The 25,877-nt window shown below is 36.3% G+C and overlaps 1 long non-coding RNA gene across 1 annotated transcript in view; it reads left to right on the top strand.

The window, feature by feature from the left end:
- Nucleotides 1-25,208, top strand: part of LOC107985866 (uncharacterized) — a 29,755-nt gene extending 4,547 nt beyond the window's left edge. Inside the window, exons 2-3 of the long non-coding RNA XR_001739400.1 lie at nucleotides 22,888-23,022; nucleotides 25,100-25,208. This is a non-coding gene — a long non-coding RNA (uncharacterized LOC107985866). The remainder of the gene's footprint in view (nucleotides 1-22,887; nucleotides 23,023-25,099) is intronic.
- The last annotated feature ends 669 nt before the right edge of the window (nucleotides 25,209-25,877 follow it).

Genomic DNA, 25,877 nt, shown 5'->3' with positions numbered 1-25,877 from the left:
CTAAAGAGAAAGATATATCCCAATACAATAATTGTTGGGGAATTTAATGCCACTTTCAGCATTAGATACTCTCAGCATTAGATCATATAGACAGAAATTCAACAAAGAAACATTGGACTTGAACTACAATAGATAGATCAAATAGACTTAGACCAAATGGACATACCAGATATTTACAGAACATTTCATTCAACAGCTTCAGAATATACATTTTTCTCATGAGCACATGGAACATTCTCAGGATCAACCATTATTTCATTACTTATTTTCATTATATCATCACAAAACAAGTCACAACAAATTTTAAAAAATCAAAATCATATCAGATATCTTCTGAGATGACAAAGAAAACTAGAAATCAATAACAAAAGGAACTTTGGAAATTGTACAAATACATGGAAATTAAATAACTTGCTTCTGGATTACTAATGTGTCTAAGAAATAAAATACATTTTTTGAAATAAATAAATTTATTTAAAATAGTGTGTTTTAATTTAAAATAAAATAAAACAGGACACATCAAAACCTATCAGATACTGGAATAGCTGTACTAACAGAAAAGTTTATACCAATAAACACCTACATCAAAAAAGCAGAGAGATTTTAAGTAAACAACATAATGATGTACCTCAAGGAACTACAAAGCAAGAACAAATGAAACCCAAAATTAGTAGAAGTAATGAAATAAGAAATATCGCAGCAGAAGAAAGAAATAATAAAACCATTTCTCTAAACAAAATAGAGACTAAAATGCAAAAGATCAATGAAAAGTTAGATTTTTGAAAATTGAAACAAAATTAACAAACTGTTAGCTAGCCTAAGAAAAAAGTTGAGACCCAAATAAATAAAATGAGAAATGAAAGAGGAAGCATTACAACTGATACCAAAGAAATTAGACTGTAAAAAATTGATATATGAAAAAATTGTGAAGCCTACAATAAATGGACAAATTTCTAGACACATATAACCTACCAAGATTGAACCAGGAAGGAATAGAAAACTTGAACAGACCAATAATGAGTATCAAAATTCAATCATTAAATGAAATCTCTCACCAAGAAAAGTACAGGACCAGATGGCTTTAATGTTGAATTCTAACAAACTGTTAAAGATAATTCAACACAAATTCTTCTCAAACTATCCCAAAAAAACGATGAGGATAGAATTCTTCCTAACTCATTCTGTGAGGCCAGCATTAATCTAATACCAAAACCAAACAAAATCAACAAAAAGAAAACTCCAGGCCAATATCCCTGATGAATTGATAGATGCCAGAAACCTCAGTAAAATACTAGCAAAGTGAAATCAACAGCACATCAAAAATATAATACACTGTGATTAAGTGGAATTTATCCTAGGGATGCAAGAATGATTCAACATACACAAATCAATAAATGTGATACATCACATCAAAGAATGAAGAATGAAAACAATATAATTATCTCAATTGATGTAGAAAAAGCTTTTGATAAAAACTCTCAACAAATTAGGTATAAGAGCAACATACTTCAACACAATAAAAGCCATATGTGACAAAGCCAAAGCTAACATCATACTGAAAAGCTTCCAGAATTTCCTCCAAAGAACTAGAACAAGGCAAGGATGCCCACTTTCAATATAGCATCTGGGACGTCCTAGCTAGGGCAATTATGCAGGATAAATCAATAAAGGGCATTTAAATTGGAAAGAGTAAGTCGAATTGTCCCTGTTTGCAGATGACATGACATTTTATATAGAAAATCCTAAAAACTCTACCAAAAAAGCTGTTAGAACTAATTGACAAAGTTAGCAAAGTTGCAGGGTTCAAAATCAGCATACAAAAATCAATAGCATTTCTATACCCCAATAACAAACTAGCCAAAAAAGAAACCAAGAAAGCAATCCCTTATAAAAGTAAAATATCTATAAATAAATTGAATCAAGGAAGTAAAAGTTCTCTACAATGAAAACTAAAAAACACAGATAAAAGAAACAAAAAATGACTATGGATTGGAAAAATTAAGATTGTTAAAGTAGGCATACTACCCAAAGTCATATACAGATTGAGTGCAATTCTTATCAAACACCAATGACATTCTTCATAGAAATAGAAACATCTACCCTAAAATTCATATGGAACCACAAAAGATCCTGAATAGCCAAATAAATACTGAGCCAAAAGAACAAAGCTGGATGCATGACACTACCTGACTTCAACATATACTACAAAGCTGTAGTAACCAAAACAGCATGACACTGGTCAAAAACAGACACATGGACCAATGGAGCAGAATAGAGTACCCAGAGGTAAATCCACATATTTACAGCCAACTGAATTTCAACATGCATTAGGGAAGGGACACCCTCTTCAATAAATTCTGCTGAGAAAGCTGGATATTCATAGGCAGAAGAATGAAAGTAGATCCCTATATCTCCACATTTACAAATATCAATTCAAAATGGATTAAGTACTTAAATGTAACACTGAAGCTATAAAACTATTAGAAGAAAACATACGGGAATGCTTCAGGGCATTGGAATGCACATATACTTTATGGGTAAGACTTCAAATGCACAGGCAACAAAAAAGTGGACAAATAGGACTATATCAAACAAAAAATCTTCTCCACATCAAGGAAATCAATGAATAGAATGAAGTCAAAACCTGTAGAATGGGAGAAAGTGTGGCATGCTTTTCATCCAAGAGACAAATATCTAGAATACACAGAGAACTCAACAGCAAAAACTCAACAGCAAAACAACAACAAATAATCTGATTTAAAAATGGGCAAACGTTTTGAATATATATATTTTAAAAGAAGATATACAAAAGGCCAAAAAGTACATGAGGAAATGCTCAATATCACTAATCATCAGAAAAATGCAGATCAAAACCACATTTATCTCATTTCACACCAGTTAGAATAACTATTGTCAAAAAGATAAAAAATAACAAAGGCTGGAGAGGATGCAGAGAAAAGGAAATCCTTAGACACTGTTGGTGTAAATGTAAATTAGTACAGTCATTATAAGAAGCTGTATGAAGGCTTCTCCAAAAATTAAAAGTAGGACTACTATATGATTCAGCCATCCCACTACTAGGTACTTATCCAAAGGAAAGGAAATCAGTAGGTCAAAGCCATATCTATACTTCCATTTTTATTGCAATGTTATTCACAACAGCCAAGATACGAATCAACTTAAATGCCTATCAATGAATACATGGATAAAGAAAGTGTGGTACATATACACAGTGGAATACTATTTGGTCCTAAATAAATGAAACCCTGTCATTCATAGCCACATGGATGAGCCTCAAGGACATCATATTGACTGAAATGTCAGACACAGAGGGATAAATACTGCATGTTTTCACTCATGTGGAAGCTTAAAAACATTGAAGTCATAGAAGTAGGGAGTAGAATAGTGGTTATGAGGCTTGGAAGGGTGGAGGGAAGGGAGTATAGGAACAAGTTGGTTAACAGATACAATTACAGGTAGACATGAAGAAAAAGTTCTAGTGTTCTATAGCAATGTATGGTGAATACAGTTAAAATAATTTAATACATATTTTCAAAAACATAAAAGGGGACTTTCAATGTTCCCAACACAAAGAAATGATTTTATTTTATTTTTTGTAGAGACAGGGTTTCATTTTGCCCAGGCTGGCCTTGAACTCCTGGCCTCTAGCAATCTTCCTGCCTAGGCTTCCCAAAATTCTGGGATTACAGATGTGAGCCACCACACCCAGCCCGATAGCTGTTTGAGATAATTAATATGCTAATTATCCTAATTTGATCATTACACATTGTATACGTGTATCAAAACATCACTCTGTTTCCCATATATGTCCAATTACACTTGAACTTTGAACAACACAGGTTTGAACTGCATGGATCCACTTATATGCAACATTTTTTCAATAAACATGTTAGAAAATGTTTTGGAGATTTGCAGCAATTTGAAAAAACTCGGGGGGTGGAGCCAAGATGGCCGAATAGGAACAGCTCTGGTCTACAGCTCCCAGCATGAGCCACACAGAAGACGGGTGATTTCTGTATTTCCAACTGAGGCACCAGGTTAATCTCACTGGGGAGTGCTGGACAGTGGGTGCAGGACAGTAGGTGCAGCACACTGTGCATGAGCTGAAGTAGGGTAAGCCATCACCTCACCCAGGGAAGTGCAAGGGGTCAGGGAATTCCCTTTCCTAGTCAAAGAAAGGGGTGACAGACAGCACCTGGAAAATCGGGTCACTCCCACCCTAATACTGCGCTTTTCCAACGGGCTTAACAAACAGCACACCAGGAGATTATATCCCGCACATGGCTCGGAGGGCCCTATGCCCACGGAGCCTCGCTCATTGCTAGCACAGCAATCTGAGATCAAACTGCAAGGCGGCAGCGAGGCTTGGGGAGGGGCGTCCGCCATTGCTCAGGCTTGAGTAGGTAAACAAAGCGGCCCGGGAAGCTCGAACTGGGTGGAGCCCACCACAGCTCAGGGAGGCCTGCCTGCCTCTGTAGGCTCCACCTCTGGGGGCAGGGCACAGACAAACAAAAGACAGCCATAACCTCTGCAGATTTAAATGTCCCTGTCTGACAGCTTTGAAGAGAGTAGTGGTTCTCCCAGCACGCAGCTGGAGATCTGAAAATGGGCAGACTGCCTCCTCAAGTGGGTCCCTGACCCCCGAGTAGCCTAACTGGGAGGCACCCCCTAGTAGGGGCAGACTGACACCTCACACGGCCGGGTACTCCTCTGAGACAAAACTTCCAGAGGAACTATCAGGCAGCAGCATTTGCGGTTCACCAATATCTGCTGTTCCGCAGCCACCGCTGTTGATACCCAGGCAAACAGGGTCTGGAGTGCACCTCCAGTAAACTCCAAAGGACCTGCAACAGAGGGTCCTGACTCATAGAAGGAAAACTAACAAACAGAAAGGACATCCACACCAAAAACCCATCTGTATGTCACCATCATCAAAGACCAAAGGTAGATAAAACCACAAAGATGGGGAAAAAACAGAGCAGAAAAACAGGAAACTCTAAAAATCAGAGTGCCTCTCCTACTCCAAAGGATCGCAGCTCCTCACCAGCAACAGAACAAAGCTGGATGGAGAATGACTTTGATGAGTTGAGAGAGGAAGGCTTCAGAAGATCAAACTACTCCAAGCTAAAGGAGGAAGTTCGAACCAATGGCAAAGAAGTTAAAGATTTTGAAAAAAAATTAGACAAATGGATAACTAGAATAACCAATGCCAAGAAGTCCTTAAGGGACCTGATGGAGCTGAAAACCAAGGCACGAGAACCAATGCACAAGCCTCAGTAACTGATGTGATCATCTGGACGAAAGGGTATCAGTGATGGAAGATGAAATGAATGAAATGAAGCATGAAGAGAAGTTTAAAGTAAAAAGAATAAAAAGAAACAAACAAAGTCTCCAAGAAATATGGGACTATGTGAAAAGACCAAATCTACGTCTGATTGGTGTACCTGAAAGTGACGGGGAGGATGGAACCAAGTTGGAAAACACTCTGCAGGATATTATCCAGGAGAACTTCCCCAATCTAGCAAGGCAGGCCAACATTCAAATTCAGGAAATACAGAGAATGCCACAAAGATACTCCTCGAGAAGAGCAACTCCAAGACACATAATTATTAGATTCACCAAAGTTGAAATGAAGGAAAAAATGTTAAGGCCAGCCAGAGAGAAAGGTCGGGTTACCCACAAAGGGAAGCCCATCAGACTAACAGCTGATCTCTCAGCAGAAACTCTACAAGCCAGAAGAGAGTGGGGGCCAATATTCAACATTCTTAAAGAAAAGAATTTTCAACCCAGAATTTCATATGCAGCCAAACTAAGCTTTATAAGTGAAGGAGAAATAAAATCCTTTACAGACAAGCAAATGCTGAGAGATTTTGTCACCACCAGCCCTGCCCTAAAGAGTTCCTGAAGGAAGCACTAAACATGGAAAGGAACAACCGGTACCAGCCACTGCAAAAACATGCCAAATTGTAAAGACCATGGAGGCTAGGAAGAAACTGCATCAACTAACGAGCAAAATAACCAGCTAACATCATAATGACAGGATCAAATTCACACATAACAACACTAAACTTAAATGTAAATGGGCTAAATGCTCCAATTAAAAGGCACAGACTGGCAAATGGGATAAAGAGTCAAGACCCATCAGTGTGCTGTATTTAGGAAACCCATCTCATGTGCAGAGACACACATAGGCTCAAAATAAAGAGATGGAGGAAGATCTACCAAGCAAATGGAAAACAAAGAAAGGCAGGGGTTGCAATCCTAGTCTCTGATAAAACAGACTTTAAACCAACAAAGATCAAAAGAGACAAAGAAGGCCATTACATAATGGTAAAAAGGGATCAATTGAACAAGAAGAACTATCCTAAATATATATGCACCCAATACAGGAGCACCCAGATTCATAAAGCAAGTCCTTAGTGACCTACAAAGAGACTTAGACTCCCACACAATAATAATGGGAGACTTTAACACCCCACTGTCAACATTAGAGAGATCAATGAGAAAGAAAGTTAACAAGGGTATCCAGGAATTGAACTCAGTTCTGGACCAAGCAGACCTAATAGACATCTACAGAACTCTCCACCCCAAATCAACAGAATATACATTCTTTTCAGCACCACACCAGCCCTATTCGGACACTGACCACATAGTTGGAAGTAAAGCACTCCTCAGCAAATGTAAAAGAACAGAAATTATAACAAACTGTCTCTCAGACCACAGTGCAATCAAACTAGAACTCAGGATTAAGAAATTCACTCAAAACGGCTCAACTACATGGAAACTGAACAACCTGCTCCTGAATGACTACTGGGTAAGTAACGAAATGAAGGCAGAAATAAAGATGTTCTTTGAAACCTACGAGAACAAAGACACAACATACCAGAATCTCTGGGACACATTCAAAGCAGTGTGTAGAGGGAAATTTATAGCACTAAATGCCCACAAGAGAAAGCAGGAAAGATCTAAAATTGACACCGTAACATCACAATTAAAAGAACTAGAGAAGCAAGAGCAAACACATTCAAAAGCTAGCAGAAGGCAAGAAATAACTAAGATCAGAGCAGAACTGAAGGAAATAGAGACATAAAAAACCCTTCAAAAAAATCAATGAATCCAGGAGCTGGTTTTCTGAAAAGATCAAGGAAAACTGACAGACTGCTAACAAGACTAATAAAGAAGAAAAGAGAGAAGAATCAAATAGATGCAATAAAAAATGACAAAGGGGATATTACCACTGATCCCACAGAAATACAAACTGCCATCAGAGAATAGTATAAACACCCCCATGCAAATAAACTAGAAAATCTAGAAGAAATGGGTAAATTCCTCGACACATACACTCTCCCAAGACTAAAGCAGGAAGAACTTGAATCTCTGAATAGACCAATAACAGGCTCTGAAATTGAGGCAATAATTAATAGCTTACTAACCAAAAAAGGTCCAGAACCCGATGGATTCACAGCCGAATTCTACCAGAGGTACAAGGAGGAGCTGGTACCATTCCTTCTGAAACTATTCCAACCAATAGAAAAAGAGGGAATCCTCCCTAACTCATTTTATGAGGCCAGCATCATCCTGATACCAAAGCATGGCAGAGACACAACAAAAAAAGAGAATTTTAGGCCAATATCCTTGATGAACATTGATGCAAAAATCCTCAATAAAATACTGGCAAACCGAATCCAGCAACACATCAAAAAGCTTATCCACCATGATCAAGTGGGCTTCATCCCTGGGATGCAAGGCTGGTTCAACATATGAAAATCAATAAACGTAATCCAGCATATAAACAGAACCAAAGACAAAAACCACATGATTGTCTCAATAGATGCAGAAAAGGCCTTTGACAAAATTCAACAACCCTTCATGCTAAAAACTCTCAATAAATTAGGTATTGATGGGACATATCTCAAAATAATAAGAGCTATCTATGACACCCGCAGCCAATATCATACTGAATGGGCAAAAACTGGAAGCATTCCCTTTGAAAACTGGCACAAGACAGGGATGCCCTCTCTCACCACTCTTATTCAACATAGTGTTGGAAGTTCTGGCCAGGGCAATCAGGCAGCAGAAGGAAATAAAGGGCATTCAATTAGGAGAAGAGGAAGTCAAATTGTCCCTCTTTGCAGATGACATGATTGTATATCTAGAAAACCCCATCGTCTCAGCCCAAAATCTCCTTAAGCTGATAGGCAACTTCAGCAAAGTCTCAGGATACAAAATCAATGTACAAAAATCACAAGCATTCTTATACACCAATAACAGACAAACAGAGAGCCAAATCATGAGTGAACTCCCATTCACAATTGCTTCAAAGAGAATAAAATACCTAGGAATCCAACTTACAAGGGATGTGAAGGACATCTTCAAGGAGAACTACAAACCACTGCTCAGTGAAATAAAAGAGGATACAAACAAGTGGAGGAACATTCATGCTCATGGGTAGGAAGAATCAATATCGTGAAAATGGCCATAATGCCAAAGGTAATTTATAGATTCAATTCCATCCCCATCAAGCTACCAATGACTTTCTTCACAGAATTGGAAAAAACTACTTTAAATTTTATATGGAACCAAAAAATAGCCCGCATCGCCAAGTCAATCCTAAGCCAAAAGAACAAAGCTGGAGGCATCATGCTACCTGACTTCAAACTATACTACAAGGCTACAGTAACCAAAACAGCATGGTACTGGTACCAAAACAGAGATATAGATCAATGCAACAGAACAGAGCCCTCAGAAATAATGCCACATATCTACAACTATCTGATCTTTGACAAACCTGACAAAAACAAGAAATGGGGAAAGGATTCCCTATTTAATAAATGTTGCTGGGAAAACCGGCTAGCCATATGTAGAAAGCTGAAACTGGATCCCTTACTTACATCTTATACAAAAATTAATTCAAGATGGATTAAAGACTTACATGTAAGACCTAAAACCATAAAAACCCTAGAAGAAAACCTAGGCAATACCATTCAGGACATAGGCATGATCAAGGACTTCATGTCTAAAACACCAAAAGCAATGGCAACAAAAGCCAAAATTGACAAATGGGATCTAGTTAAACTAAAGAGCTTCTGCACAGCAAAAGAAACCACCCTCAGAGTGAACAGGCAACCTACAGAATGGGAGAAAATTTTTGCAACCTACTCATCTGACAAAGGGCTAATATCCAGAATCTACAATGAACTCCAACAAATTTACAAGAAAAAAACAAACAACCCCATCAAAAAGTGGGCAAAGGATATGAACAGACACTTCTTAAAAGAAGACATTTATGCAGCCAAAAAGCACATGAAAAAATGCTCATCATCACTGGCCATCAGAGAAATGCAAATCAAAACCACAATGAGATACCATCTCACACCAGTTAGAATGGCGATCATTAAAAAGTCAGGAAACAACAGGTGCTGGAGAGGATGTGGAGAAATAGGAACACTTTTACACTGTTGGTGGGACTGTAAACTAGTTCAACCATTGTGGAAGTCAGTGTGGCAATTCCTCAGGGATCTAGAACTAGAAATACCATTTGACCCAGCCATCCCATTACTGGGTATATACCCAAAGGATTATAAATCATGTTCCTATAAAGACACATGCACACGTATGTCTATTGTGGCACTATTCACAATAGCAAAGACTTGGAACCAACCCAAATGTCCAACAATGATAGACTGGATTAAGAAAATGTGGCACATATGCACCATGGAATACTATGCAGCCATAAAAAATGATGAGTTCATGTCCTTTGTAGGGACATGGATGAAGCTGGAAACCGCCATTCTCAGCAAACTATTGCAAGGACAAAAAACCAAACACCGCATGTTCTCACTCATAGGTGGGAATTGAACAATGAGAACACATGGACACAGGAAGGGGAACATCACACACCGGGGCCTGTTGTGGGGTGGGGCGAGGGGGGAGGGATAGCATTAGGAGATATACCTAATGCTAAGTGACGAGTTAATGGGCACAGCACACCAACATGGCACATGTATACACATGTAAGAAACCTGCACGTTGTGCACATGTACCCTAAAACTTAAAGTATAATAATAATAAAAAAAAAGAAAAAACTCATAGGTGAACAGCATAGCCTAGAAATATCATAAAATCTTAAGAATAACTTAGGTATCTCATGAATGCATAAAATATATGTAGGTACTAGTTTACATTATCATTTGCTACCATAAAATACACACGTCTATAATACAAAGTTTATATTTATTGAAACTTATGCACATAAACACTTATGGACTGTATGTGATGCCATTTGCAGTAGAGAGAAATGTAAACAAACAAAGTTGCAGTATTAAATCATAACTGCAAAAAATTAACTGTAGTACTACTGTAATACTATAATAATGTCATAGCCACCTCCTGCTGCTGTTGTGGTGAACTCAAGTGTTGCAAGTGCAAGTTTCTGCTTAGAATACTGTGAGATGCTAATCATCTCTGCATGAACAGTTCATCTCTCCAGTAAATTGCGTATTATAGTAAAAAATTGGCCTCTTTCAGTTCTCACGTAATTTTCATTGTGTTTAGTGCAATACCATAAAACTTGAATGACACCAAGGGACCCATACAAAGTGCCACTAGAGATGATGAAAGTGCTCCTAAGAAGCAGAAGAAAAGTCATGACATTACAAGAAAAAGTTGAATTGCTTGATATGTACTGTAGACTGAGGTGTGCAGTTGCAGTTACTCACCATTGCATACAGGTAATTCATCTTTTAAATAGACTATGTAAACTTATGGTATCCATAAATATAGCACAGCACTGTAAATGTTTTTTCTTATGATTTTTTAAATAACACTTTCTTTTCTCTATTTTCTGTGTATAACACTTTCTTTTCTCTACTTTCTGTGTTCTCTACTAAGAACACAGAAAATAACACATACATAATATGTATTAATCAACTCTTTATGTTATAGGAAGGCTTTAAGTCAATAGTAGCCTATTAGTAATTCAGTTTTGCGGGAGTCAAAAGCTATACAAAGATTTTCAATGGCACAAGGAGTCAGCACCCCTAACCCCAGCGTTGTTCAAGGGTCAACTGTATTATGTGTCGACTAAAAATATGGGAGAGAAAAAAAAATAAAGGCAGAAAGAGAAGAAATAAAGCCAGGTAAAGGAATGGAAAAACAACTAATTTCCCGAATATTGTCAATACCATATGTTTCCTGTTTCCATAAACAAGCTTCAAATATTTTAATAACAAGTAAATCTGATCATAGTCAAATCACTGCAGTGAAATAAAGAAAATTAGTAAAATGAGCTAGTAAAATTCAGGCATTAAACAACTGAGAAAAATGAATTAAAGGTCTAGAAAGTAATCTCACTTATAAGATAGATATAAAAGTACATAGTAAGGTATTCATCACTGGAGTCCAGAAATATATTATAATATCAATATATAATTATCAGAGAGTCTTCAGGATCCAAATGCATAATGATTCAACACAAAGCACCTCAATGAAACCCATAGTATAATAGAAAAAAATTAAAAAGATCATTTTATTATTAACAATTTTAGTAACTTTTACTTATAAACCTAAGAGATAAATCAATTACTCCCATTTTTAGATGAGAAAACTCTAACATATAGAGTTTATTTGTTGTGAAATTATATTTAATTTTTGACTTGTGATAATGTTAACATATTTAAAACAATCAGCCCTTATCTTTTTAGTGATACTTATTGAAATATTAGCACATGTAAAATAACAGTTATTAGAATTTGCTTCAAAATAAATCGGGTGTTTTAAACCTAGGCAAGGACATAGATGAAGCAAAAGTAGCCATGTGTTGATAATTATTGAATCCAGATAATGTAAAAAAAATGTTCATTGTACTATTCTTTTTACTTTTGGGTATGTTTGCAATTTTCCCTAACAACAAAAATCATAAAATACACTCATCTTAGGAATAAACTTTAGGGGATCCATATAAGGAGAATACAAAATTCTAATAGCAGGCATTAACTAGTTGCATAAATCAAGAAACAAATAATTGCTTGAAAAGGAAATGTTAATGAAGAGATTATCTCAAAATTAATTTTAAAATTTAACAATTATAACCTTAGCACATTTTTTGTCTCCATTGAAGGATATTTACAGTGTAGCAAGAGTCAAGAAAATCCAAAAAGAAAAACCGTAATGAAATATTTGCATTAATCCTTTTACTCTACTATAGACCTGAATTAATTATGACACAAAGACACTGAAAATAATAAATGAAGAGATGGTTGGAATAGGAGAACCAGAAAAATAACCAAGAAATAAAGATAATTTGTTCTGATAGACACAGCATTTAAAATCAACATGAAAGAAAGATTTGTGCAGTGAATAAACTTAGAAAAATTGAATAATCACTGCAGTAAAAATTAAATGAAACTCCTACTCAGTCATATCTCTAAAATAAACTTTAGATAAAATAAATATAAATGTTAATAGAAAAAACATAAATATAATAGAAAAATATTTGTAAATATATACGGAATTGTGTTGAAGGAGATTTTATAAACATGGAAACAAAGCCAGAAGACATAGAGTTATAGTAAATAGCTTTCACATATAAACACTTATAACTTTTTTTAAAAAATGAAAGCTCTCATTTAAAAACTCGAAATACAACTTGGAAACCAATTTTTATGGAAACATAAGAGATAAGTCATTAATTTCCTACAGGATTTTTAGGTGGTGAAATGAAATTGTAGAAAGCAAAAGTGCTTTTAAAAATACAAATGAAGAAGTTTTACTCCCAGAGGAATATCTAGATACTGAAGGACTCTACTGCAGAAAAACAAGTAAAACCTTAATAAAGCATACTTTTAATGTTGTGTTGACTGGGCTTGCAGAAGTGTGGGAACTTTCAAATACACACTAACCCATTTCCTATATCAAGAACCCCCCAAAAATGTGTATTAGTTGGTTCTCACGCTGTTATGAAGAAATACCCAAGACTGGGTAATTTATAAAGAAAAGAAGTTTAATTGACTCACAGTTCTGCATAGCTGGGGAGGCCTCAAGAAACTTACAATCATGGCAAAGGCACCTCTTCCCAAGGCGGCAGGATAGAGAAGGAGTGCCAGCAGGGGAAATGCCAGACACTTATAAAACCATCAGATCTTATGAGACTCACTCATTATCAGGAGAACAGCATGGTGGAAATCACCCACATGATTCAATTACTTCCACCTGGTACTGCCCTTGACACATGGGGGTTATCACAATTCAAGGTGAGATTTCAGTGGGGACAGAGAGCCAAACCATATCATTCCACTCCTGGGCCCTCCCAAATCTCATGTCCTCACATTTCAAGACACAATCATGCCCTTCCAATAGTCCCCCAAAGTCTTAGTTCTTTCTAGCATTAATCCAAAAGTCCAAGTCCAAAGTTTCATCTGAGACAAGATAATCCCTTCTGTGTATGAGCCTATAAAATCAAAAGCAAATTAGTTACTTCCTAGACACAATGGGGGTACAGTCATTGAGTAAATACACCCATTCTAAATGGGAGAAATAGGCCTAAACAAAAGGGCTACAGGCCCCATGCAAGTTTGAAATCCAATAGGGCAGTCATTAAAGGAGATCCAAAATCATCTCCTTTGACTCCATGTCTCACGTCCATGTCACGCTGATGCAAGAGGGGGGTCTCACAGCTTTGGACAGCTCTGCCCTGTGGCTTTGCAGTTTACAGCCCCCCTCCCAGCTGCTTTCATGTTTGGCATTGAGTGCCTGCAGCTTTTCCGGCTGTATGGTGCAAGCTGTCGGTGGATACACCATTGTGGGATCTGGAGGACAGTGGCCCTCTTCTCACAACTCCACTATGCAGTTCTTTAGTGGGGACTCTGTGTGGGGGCTCCAACCCCACACTTTGCTTCTGCACTGCCCTAGCAGAGGTTCTCCATGAGGGGTCCACCCCTGCACAAACTTCTGCCTGGCCATCCAGGCACTTCCATCCATGCTCTGAAATCTAGGTGGAGGTTCCCAAACCTCAATTCCTGACTTCTGTCCACCCTGGCCCAACACCACATGTAGGCCACCAAGGCTTGGGGCTTGCACACTCTGAAGCAATGGCCTGAGCTGTATACTGTCCCCTTTTAGCCACAGCTCGAGCTGAAGCAGCCAAGATGAAGGGCACCATATACGGAGCCTGCACAGAGCAGAGGTGCTCTGGGCCAGGCCCATGAAACAATTTTTTCCTTCTAGACCTCCAGGCCTTTGATAGGAGGGGCTTCCACAAAGGTCTCTGACATGCACTGGAGACATTTTCCCTATTGTCTTGGTGACTAACATTCTGCTCATTACTTATGCAAATTTCAGCAGCAGGCTTGAATTTCTCTCTAAAAAAATGGGTTTTTCTTTTGTATCCCATTGTCAGGCTGCAAATTTTTCAAACGTTTATGCTCTGCTTCCTCTTGAAGGTTTTGCCGCTTAGATATTTCTTCTGCCAGATACCCTAAATCATCTCTCTCAGGTTCAGATTTCCACAGATCTCTAGGGCAGAGGAAAAAAGGCCACCAGTCTCTTTGCCTAGCAAGAGTGATCTTTACTCAAGTTCCCAGCAAGCTTCTTATGTCTGTCTGGATAAGCTCAGCCTGGACTTCATTGTCCATATCACTATCAGCATTTTGGTCAAAGCCATTCAAACAAGTCTCTAGGAAGTTCCAAAGCTTCCCACATCTTCATGTCTTCTGAGACCTTTAAGACTCTAGGAAGTTTCAAGATTTCTCATATTTTCCTGTCTTCTTCTTAACTGTTCTTCAAACTGTTCCAGCCTTTGCCTGTTACCCAGTTCCAAATTTGCTTTAACATTTTCAGATGTGTTTATAGCAACACCCCACTCTCTGTGATACCAATTTACGGTATTATCTGTTCTCACACTGCTATGAAGAAATATATAAGACTGGATAATTTATAGAGAAAAGAGGTTTAATTGGCTCACAGTTCTACATAGCTGGGGAGGCCTCAGGAAACTTACAATCATGACAGAAGACACTTCTTCCCAGGGTGGCAGGATAGAGAATGAGCGTCAGCAGGGGAAATGCCAGATGCCTATAACACCACCAGATCTTGTGAGACTCACTCATTATCACAAGAACAGCATAGGGGAAACCAAACCCATGATCCAGTTATTTCCACCTGGTACTGCCCTTGACACATGGAGATTATTACAATTCAAGGTGAGATATGGGTGGGAGCACAGAAAAACCATATCAAGATGTAAAAACAAAAAAAGGGTCTGAAATTGATGCTAGATGCATTGAACTGAAACAGAAAGGACAAGCAGTGTAGCTTTGTAGGAAAATGCTGATAGCAGCCTCCAAAATCCTAAAATGAAGTTGTGCCAGCAGGAAGGAGAGGCAGGTATTGAACATCAGGCTACTGCATTAGCTGAAACTTTCAAAGGGAGTAAAACACAAAAAGGAGTTCTTAAAAGCAGCCACAGAAAGAAAGGCAGATAATCAACACCTACAAAATAATCAAAATGTGATTAATAGAAGCCTTCCTCATAGCAACAATGAAAATAAGAAGCAAGAAAAAATATTTTCCAAGTGCTGAGGAAAAATAACTGTCAAATAATACACTTTCAGGTAAGAATGTAAGATGATACATATAAGTCCAAATATATCTGTAGAAAGAATAAATTTACATGAACACAGTTACCATTGATTATCAGATTAGAGTCTGATGCAGAAGAATATGTTATATGTCATATAGAAGAGACACATATAAACGTGAAGCATGAAAAGTGTGAATGTAAAGAAGGACAGAAATGTTATACTAGATAAATACTATATAAAATAAAGCTGAAGATGCAATATCAATATCAGAAAATGTGGGCTGTCAAAGATAAAACACATTATTGGCAATAGAATGAGTCATTACTGAATGACCCTTATAATTATCTTTTAAGAAAAACCTCATAGTTTTTATAATGATAGTCCTATGATTATCATTATAAGAATAATGATAACTAAAAAATAGCTGATGTCAATATAGCATACACTATGTGCTTGATATTTTCCTAAAATCTTGGATACATCATTTTATTTTCACCACAATTCTATATCTACTATCATTATCCTCATTTCACCAATGAAGAAATTAAGGCACTGAAAGGCTAGCTCATAGCCATACAACTAGTTAGTGAAGAGGCAAAGAGTCAAACCAGGAAGATAAACACCAGTCTCTATGTTCTCAATTCTAATCCATAAATTTATTAAAATATTATATTTACTGAAAAAATGTAGTGACTAGGCCAAGCATGGTGGCTCACACCTGTAATCCCAACACTTTGGGAGGCTGAGGCGGGTGGATTACTTGAGACAATGGAGTTCAAGACCAGGCTGGCCAACATGGTATAACCCCATCTCTACTAAAAATACAAAAATTAGCTGAGCATGGTGGTGCGTCCCAGTATCCCAACCAATCAGGAGGCTGAGGCAGGAGAATAGCTTGAACAAGGGAGGTGGAGGTTGCAGTGAGCCAAGAACGCACCACTGCACTCCAGCCTGAGTGACAGAGTGAGACTCTGTCACACACACACACACACAAAATGTAGCAACTATGAATATGAATGTACCTATTTTTTAAAAGCCACAGGATAAATGAAGCCCAAATTAATAGAACTAAAGAGGAATGTTGATAACTCCATTATCATAGGGTAAGTTTTTAGCAGATTTCCCCCGATTATTAATCGATAAAACAGACAAAATATTTATTCATAAATGTGATGTGAATAATGTAATCAATAAGCTTGATTAAACAAACATATAGATTTCAGCATCCAACAAGTGGAAAATGAACATTCTTTTCAAGCACAGATATTGTTACTATAGCTTTGACCCTGAGTCTTCACTCTTGTATAAATAGAAATGAACACCAGGTCAAACAGAAATTTTTCTCAGGCAAACTTTAATAGGCTTGCAGGTTGAGCAAAGCAAGGGAGCAACGCATGGGAAAAGGACCCCAGTGCCAGCTCTCTAAGGGGCTTTGCTCTTGTCATTTTAAAGAAGTTGAGGCCAGAAAAGGAGTGGCATGTAGGCATCCAGAGGCAGGGAACTTTCAGCACCTGCTGCACTTTAACATGTGATATGGTTTAACTCTGTGTCTCCACCCAAATTTCATGTGAATTTTAATCCCCAAAGTTGAGGGAGGAACTGGTGGGAGGTGATTTCATCAGGGGGTGGATTTCCCCCTTGCTGTTATCCTGATAGTGAGTTAGGTCTCATGAGGTCTGGTTATTTGAAAGTGCGTAGCACTTCTCTTCCTCTCTCTCCTGCCAGCCATGTGAAGACGTGCCTACTTCCCCTTGGCCTTCTGCCATGATTGTAAGTTTTCTAAGGCCTCCCCAGAAGCAGAAGCTTGTACAGCCTGCAGAACCATGAGCTGAGAAACCTTTTTCATTTATACATTACCCAGCCTCAAGTATGTCTTTACAGCAGTGTGAGAATGGACTAATACAACATGTTTCTTAGTGTGTTGTATGTGACATTAGCATGTTGAGTCTCCACCCCTGGGTGTGATTTTCAATACTATAATGAGATTATAGTGAGGAAAAACTCCCTGAAAGGTCAGCACTGTAGTCTATCTTGTCTTTATGCTGCCTGGATCTGGTCTGGTTCTTTCTGGAAATGCCAAAGTCTGGCTTTAGTAACCTCAGAAGACATTACTCAAAGAGGTAAAGAGTTGGTTTCTTCTTTTTATGGTTAGGAATTCAGCCTGGTCAGCTGAGTTAGGAGAGGCCTCTCTTCTGGCATGTAATTTGTGTCAGCTTGTTAAGGGAGGCAAAAAGTAGTTAGAGGAGGAAATATCCCTAGACATGTGTGACCCATGGGACCTTGGTTGCCTTGTCTCTTATCTGCCAGGACCAAGTCTCTTCTTTATACTGTTTCGATATCACTCTATAGATTGCTTCATGAATGGGCTTCCAGTAGAGGACTATTTCTCTAATAATTATAGCTGACAAAAAAGGGCCAAATAACCTCTATGTAACTATGTATTCAAGGACATTTCCTGTTCAGAAGAGTGACCTTAACAGAAAGGGGGACATTTCCCAGCTGTACTGATACAGTAGTGCCTAGTGATGTATGGCCATTGAGTACTTCCAATGATGTTAGTCCAAAGTGAGATGTGCTTTAATCATACACACTAGAGTTTGAAGACAAAATTTGAATAAAATGCAAAATATCTCATTAATTTTTATATTGCTTTAATGTCAAAATAACATTTTAGATATAGTAGGTTTAATAAACACTTCATTAAAGTTAAGTTCATCTGTGTCTTTTTACTTTTTAAATACTGTGGCTACTAAAAAAGTTTAAATTACACATGTGGCTTGCATAATGTATCTATTGGAAAAGATGATGCTGGTCTAGAGCTTTATTGAATTCATACCAGCTGAGCCAGAATTTTGCTAAGCTATAAAACTGGTGGAGGAGATCAGCCTCCAGATCAAACCAATTTTTCTGAAGGACCTAAAGAAATGAAGATCTATACTATTCCTATAAAAATGAAAGCTCAAAATCATATGCATATCAACTGTCCTTTAATTTATCTGAAATTCAATGCAATTTTGATCAAAATACCAACAGGGTTTTTCATGAATCTTGACAAACTGATTTGAAACTTTATCTGGAGGAGCAAAAGACCAAAAATGGCCAAAACTGAAGAATGTATCCTACCAGCTATCAATGTATATTATAAACCTCTAGTGATAAAGTCAATATGTTATTGGCACAGAAATACAAAAACATTGACCCATGGAACAGAATGAAGATCTGGGAAATAGACTGTGTTTTACAACTTAATATATCTCAAAGGTGCAACTGAAGATCATCGTGGAATAAAGAGTATTCAAAATGTGAGACTGAACAATTAACTGCCCACGTAAATTGGATCCTTAAATTGGATTCTTACTTTCCACCATACCAATAAGTTAATTCTAGATAGGATAAGGGGAATGGTTCAAGGGGAATATTTGAGACCTTAAAAGAAAATAAGAAATAACATTTTTTTCTAAATTTGAGCTAGGGAAAGACAAATTAAAATACATGTTAAGCATTTAAAATGGACAAATTTCACTATATGTTCATTAAAAACTTCTTTCCCACAGAAAAATACCTAAAGACAGTGAAAAGACAAAACACAAACAAATGTCTGCAGCACATGAAATTTGCAAAGGATTAGGAAGACTCTTACAAATCAATTAGAAAAGGACAAAACTCAATAGAAAATTGAAAAAAGGACACAAACAGGCATCTCACAGAAGAGGAAACATGTTGCAAACAAGCTCATGAAAAGATGTTTAACTTTATTAGTTCTAAGGGAAATACAAATTAGCATTTAAAAACTATTGGCCTGATTTTATTCCCACTGATGATAATCCCACAACAATTACAAAACCAGACAAATCCAACAATCAGAGAGGAGATGAGTCAACAAATTGCTGGAGGAAGTATAAATATGAGTAGAAATAACCTGTCATTATTCTTTGAGCCTGAATATTTGCATCAGCTGTGATCCAACAATTTCACTCCCATGGAATGCATTCTATGCTTTCTCTCTGTCAAGTATCAAGACAGCTATAAGAATGCTTATTGTAAAACTGCTGTAATAAGAAAAAGAAAAAAAGGGAAAAAAAGAAGGAAGGAAGAAAGGATGGAATGAAACAAAGAAGGAAAGAAAAGAAAAAAGGAAGAAGAGAGGGAAGGAAGGGGAGAAAATAAAGAGAAAGAAAGAAGAAGGGAGAGAAAGAGAGAGATGCAGGAAAGAAAGAAGGGAAAGAGAAATAAGGAAAGAGAGACCTCAAATGTTCAGAAAAAAATGGGCATGTAGAAGGATTCATTCACCCATTCAGCTATTTTGCATGTGTAAATGAATGAAATAAAGATATGTGGTACAATACGCATGAATATGATATAATCAATCCAGGAGACCTACTTACAGTAAGATACTGCTTTTACAAAGGTCCAAAAGAAGATAAACTGGCAATTGAATGTTTATGAATGAATATATAAGTATTGTATGTAAATAAAAATAAAAAAGGATATAAAGATAGCATTCATAGTGCACTCACATTTGTGGGAGAGGCAATTGTAAGGAGGAACACTTGGATGAAATGGTATTGTAAAATTTTACTTTATAAATTAGATGGAGGTTTCATGGATATTCATTTTATTATTGTGCTTTAGTATATGATACAGGTATGTTACACTTTTTCATGGATCAAATACTATTACATTAAAATGTAATACCTTACATTATTAAACATAAACAAATATGTAAATACGCACACCAACAAATGGTGAGTTGAGAAGGAAGATGATAATGTCATTTTCTTTGGAACTTTCTTACGACTCCCTGAACCACTGTCCCTTTCCTACCTCTTCCATATCTCCATTATAGCGCCATTTGTTTAATCTCCTTATGATTTCCTCTTTGGCTCAGCTGTTTAGTGCAGAACAATTCATGAGTTTGTTCAATCTCTGCTCAGTGTGGTGCCTTACTCCTCATTAGTGGATGCACAACAGATGAGAAATGATAAATGAGTAACTGTTCGAGATTGCGGAAATATTGCAAGTGATAATTCTATGGAATTTTTTAAGCTGAACACCCACCTATTTGGTTCCAAATTACATAAGTCATCTTGAAAGTAGGTTTTGTTCTAGCTCTCAAGAAACAGCACGGTCTGACATATCTGTAGGGAAATTGGATTTTTCATAATATTTTCTTAAGAGAAAGCAGTAAAAAGAGCTTCATAAAAAAGAGAAGCAAAACGCATATGCACCCTTCTGAAAATGTAAAAGCTGATGATGATATTTCTCCTTTGGGCATTAGATCAATCTCATGCATAAACACTGAAATAGAAAGAGACTTACTAAGGAAATAGATCATTGGATGTCTAAAAGCATTTGTATTACTGGACTAGTAGAAAAATAGAGAATATCTTCTGTCCCTGCAATATAATGCAGACATTTTCAATAGGAAATATATGTTGCCCATAGTCAAAATTCATTGGGAAATAGAACCTCAGCTATATAAAGGTCCAAAATTAAATAATTAAATAATTAAAATTTTTTTCAACCTTATTATTATAAGAAATGACAGTTAACCTCAGATAGTATTCTGAAGGAAACAGTTTTGGATCAATGATTCTGCTTGCAGGTATCTTACTCCATCTTCAGAGAAGCTTATGATGTGCCAAGTAAGATCATGTTTTCCTTCAGCGTTTGTATATTATCTTGAGAATGACACCACATTCGCTGATGATATTACCAAAATACCCTTATGGTATTGACTTGGTAAATGGACTGATATGGTTTGGCTCTGTATCCTCACCCAAATCTCATCTCAAATTATCATCCCCATGTGTCAGGGGAAGGGCATGGTGGGAGGTGAGTGGATCATGGATGTGGATTTCTCTTTTGCTGTTCTCTTGATAGTCAGTGAGTTCTTACGAGATCTGATGGTTTAAAAGTGTGACATTTCTCCCTTTGCTCTCTTTCTCCTGCCACCATTTAAGACATGTCTTGCTTCCCCTTCACCCTCTACCACAATTATGAGTTTCCTGAGGTCCCCCTAGCCATTCAGAACTATGAGGAAATTAAACCTCTTTTGTTTATAAATTACCCTGTCCCAGGTGGTTCTTTATAGCAGTGTGAAAATGGACTAATACATGGAAATAATTAAAAACTACATTTCCTAAATTCTTACTTCTAGCCTAATTTCTGCCTTTTGTAAAGATTATTAAGTTTCCTTGCTCTTTGTTAGATCCTAATGAATGTGACTTTCTTTGAGCAAATATAGAGACAAAGGCTAAAAGAAATTTCTACCATCTTTTAGTATTGGTGATTACGTTTTCAATATGCCTGGTTTACTAATTATTTTTTATTAAATGTGGTTTGATTTTCTTTTGTTGGTTTATTTCAGATCTTATAATGTAAGGAAGAAAGAGTTGTCTTAAATAATTACCTCTCATTGTGAGGGAGTATAGTATATTGTTTGAAAGTGCAGACTGGAGTGAAATAATAATTATTTTAAATGGAAATATATCTAATAGAATAATATTATTGGTAAAACTGAAACACTAATTGGTAAAACCAATAAACACTAATAACACTAATTATATACATCTCTCTGTCCACTTCATGCTGTCACCCACATAGCTGAAGGGGGTTGGAGATAACACATATCCATGCTGATTAGTCTTATTTTGAATATGTGACTTCAAATGGCCCCAAAATGCTGCCTGACAATCACACTACATTTTTCTGTTTCATTTATTCTGGAACTTTATAAGGTGACTCATTCCTTTTAATCTCTTCTCAAAATCTCAACCCTTTTAAGATTGTCATATTTAGCCAAAGAAATACAGGATGCTCAGGATTTGAATTAAATCTAAATGCTTACGTATATGTACACTGTGATAAAAGAAAAAGATGGCATGTTAAATACTTAAACAATAATTGTTTGCCTAAAATAAATAACAAGTATGTAAATCACCTACCTCTGTTTTTAAAAATCATATTCCCTGATGGTTTGGCTCTCCCAAATGGTTTTTTGTTTCACAGAGTTTGCTTATAAAATTCCTTGCAGTATGTATTCCATTTATATGTCACTCCATAATGACACAGTTTCTATAGTGGTCATATCCAATTAATTTTGTTCATTTGTTCACTGAAAAATTGTTAATGATATAACACATTCAATGTTGGCACTATGAGCCAGCATATTAGCATGTACTGGCATAAAGTTCACAAAGTCTCTGGCTTTTCAAACTTGATTTGTTGAAACTTACAATGCCATCCTTTTTCCGGCCTAACTTTATTCATTCCTTTCTATTATCAGGATTTTGTAGCATGGATTGATTGATGACTTTTCAAATGCTGTGGCCTGAAGAGAAAGAATATTGTCTTCAAATTTTATTCCCTTGTTGTTGAACACTACACATGAGGATGCCACTTGTTCCCATGTAACCATTAGGTAAAATCAAATTCTTCAAAGTATAAAATATATTCAAAAGATATTCACGGCAAATGCCATAATAATGATACATTTAAAGATGAAATTTCTTTTCTTGTTCATAAGTAATATCTCTTTTAAAACAGCTTTGACACTGAAAGGGATATTTTTCCATCATTTTTTGCTTTAACATGTTCAACAAGTTTCTTAAGCAATGGAGCACTTTTATGACACAGTTTGCTTTTCCTTCAACTTGCATAATCCTATTGTTAAAGAGATGTTGAAAAGTATTAACAAGGAATAAATAGAATTCATTCAATGAATTACTTAGAAAATCAACAAGCATTGGGAGGGGCCTGTTCAGAACTAAAGTGTGATTTCAATAAGCTGGATATTCTCTCGCTGTATTTGTTAAAAGAGAGCCATGGGTTTCTGAATATGAGAGAACTGAACAATCCTGAATTCCAACAAACTCTCGAAAGTCCTTTAGTCACTGGGTTAGACAGCATACATACTGAAATTAGAAAATAATTTCATGTGATCTCTGTAGTGCCAATAGGAAATATTCAATGCCAATAGCATGAGGTTCTTTGAGCAGTGTCATGTACAATATGGATCAAAAGCTAACACCTTACAAAGAATCATTGATGCTTTGATTCAACTTTAAATAAATCTCATTTCCATATTTACACCTTTACTTTTATTTGTATTTTTATTACTTCTACTAAAATCAGTACAACTTTTCTCATTACGTCCTAACTAAAAAAGAGTCTGCAACAATTTGCTGTTGTTTCTGATGTTTCATCTAAAAGGGATTTTACACTTCATAACCTTCTAAGGAAGTCTTTTTCATGAGGAAAATATTGCACAGGCAAAGGTAATATTTTTCTGCATTGCAATTATTTTCACCATGGCTCTTTTGTAAAATGGTGAATCATTCTGATATTTTATTACCTCTGCCATAGTAAATACCCCTATTATATATTTGTATTATTGCAGTAGATGTCATTTTGGTACTTAAAAACTTGCTCATGATTTTAGAATCAGAAAACACTTTTAGTAGCTGTATGTTCAAAAGATATTTGTGCTGAAATACTGATGCTGATGTATATCGTATGGAAGGCATTCCAACTTCTACTGCTTCACATGAATTTCCCTTAATCAGAATTTTATTTTTTGTCACATTTATAGTACTAGTTAAGAACTTATATATCACGTATGCCAATATGCTGGCTTATATCTGATTTTCCACCATTTTCCATATTGTATGAGTAATTGTATACTACACACAGAGATCCAAAAGAGCATTTTCTTTATTTAGTAAATGTCACTCTTCAGAAAATTTATCACAAAGTTTATTTCTGTGTTTTGGCATTTGAGGATTCAAATATACAAAAACACAAACACAAATAGATAATAGAAACCACCACAAGAATTGAAAAGACTGAATTTAATAATCTCAGGGAATCTACATTGCATTTGTCACTCACAAGTCCAAATTAATAAGTAACCATAAACAAGGGTCGAGTTGTTGAAAGGGCTGTGAACTTGCAAACTAACAATAAAATTGACTAATATCTGGAGCAAAAGGTGAAGTTTTCCTTTGCTTACAAGTAATAGCAATATCTGTAAGGCATTGTCTTTATGTAATGTCACAGATGACATTACATAAGGTTTCAGAAAGACTGGCTCATCAAAGCTTGGCAGACTTTCAGAGGTAGGAATGTTTAGGGATTACAGAACTTCATACTCTACTGGTGTGGTCATTGTACTAAGGCTGATGTTCACCAGCTGACTTAGAAACACAGAAAATAAACTGAAACATTTGTTGATTGACTAATGTTTAGAAGCACAGGGTTATCACTGATTAGTCTATTTTCAAAAATGAAGTTTAATGATTGGCTGACTTTCAGAATTCATAGTTACATGAATCAGGCTGGTGTTTGACTGATTTTCAGAGCACGGGTACTAATCTGATCTTATCTCTAATGATGGTTACTTATGCACGACTTGAAACCTTGGCCAAAGAACAATCTTTCATATCTTAAATATGAAAAATAAATAATTTTAATCCTTACTTATTTCTTTTGACTTTCAGCCAAAGCTGCAGTAAGAAACTTAAGAGACTCTCCAGATCTTTATTTATAGAGGTATGACTTTCAACTTGTGTTGCCATTCAAGTGATTTAAGCTGCCAATGGGGGTGACTGAAAAATCACTCTAAAAGCCAATTTTTTGTTATTTATTGGAAAAAATACTGAATATAGAACATCTAGAGTGTCCTGGAAAAGACAATACAAGACACAGGGAAAAAGTATTAGATCCAGAACATGTTTGCAATATAAAAAAATACTTGGGAACCCTAAACCCTCATCGTCATTCTTAACTTTGTTTTCTATTTCATTGAGAAAATAATGGAAGATTAGAGAGAACTTCTACAAACTGTCTACTACATCTAACCCTTATTTGAATCTGTTCCCAATTATTCTAACTTATTCACTTTGCTGCTGATAAAAGTAATCAATTCCACTTACCTAATAGATCTTATTACCTCTTACATGAATAAGGATGTAATTCAATCAATTCTCATATTTTTCTCAAATTTATATCTATAGGTAAGGCCTCTTCCCAGAACATCAGACTTGTATATCCAACTGCCTGGTAGACATTGCCACTTGATTGTCTAATAAGCATTGCAATCTTTACGTGTATATGACCAAGATCCTAACCCATCCTTCAAGAAGCTCACAACAATTTACTGCCAAACCTGTATGCCACAGTATTTTCTATGTCTGTCAAAGACAACACCATCATTACAGTTGTTCAGGCCAAAATCTCTACATTCACACTGTCAGAAAACCTGATTTTTCTACCTTT

The sequence above is a fragment of the Homo sapiens genome, chromosome 2 (assembly GCF_000001405.40).
Source record: "Homo sapiens chromosome 2, GRCh38.p14 Primary Assembly".
Taxonomy (NCBI): domain Eukaryota; kingdom Metazoa; phylum Chordata; class Mammalia; order Primates; family Hominidae; genus Homo; species Homo sapiens.
Note: the sequence above shows the minus strand (reverse complement) of the source record. Positions and strands in the feature narration are given on the sequence as shown.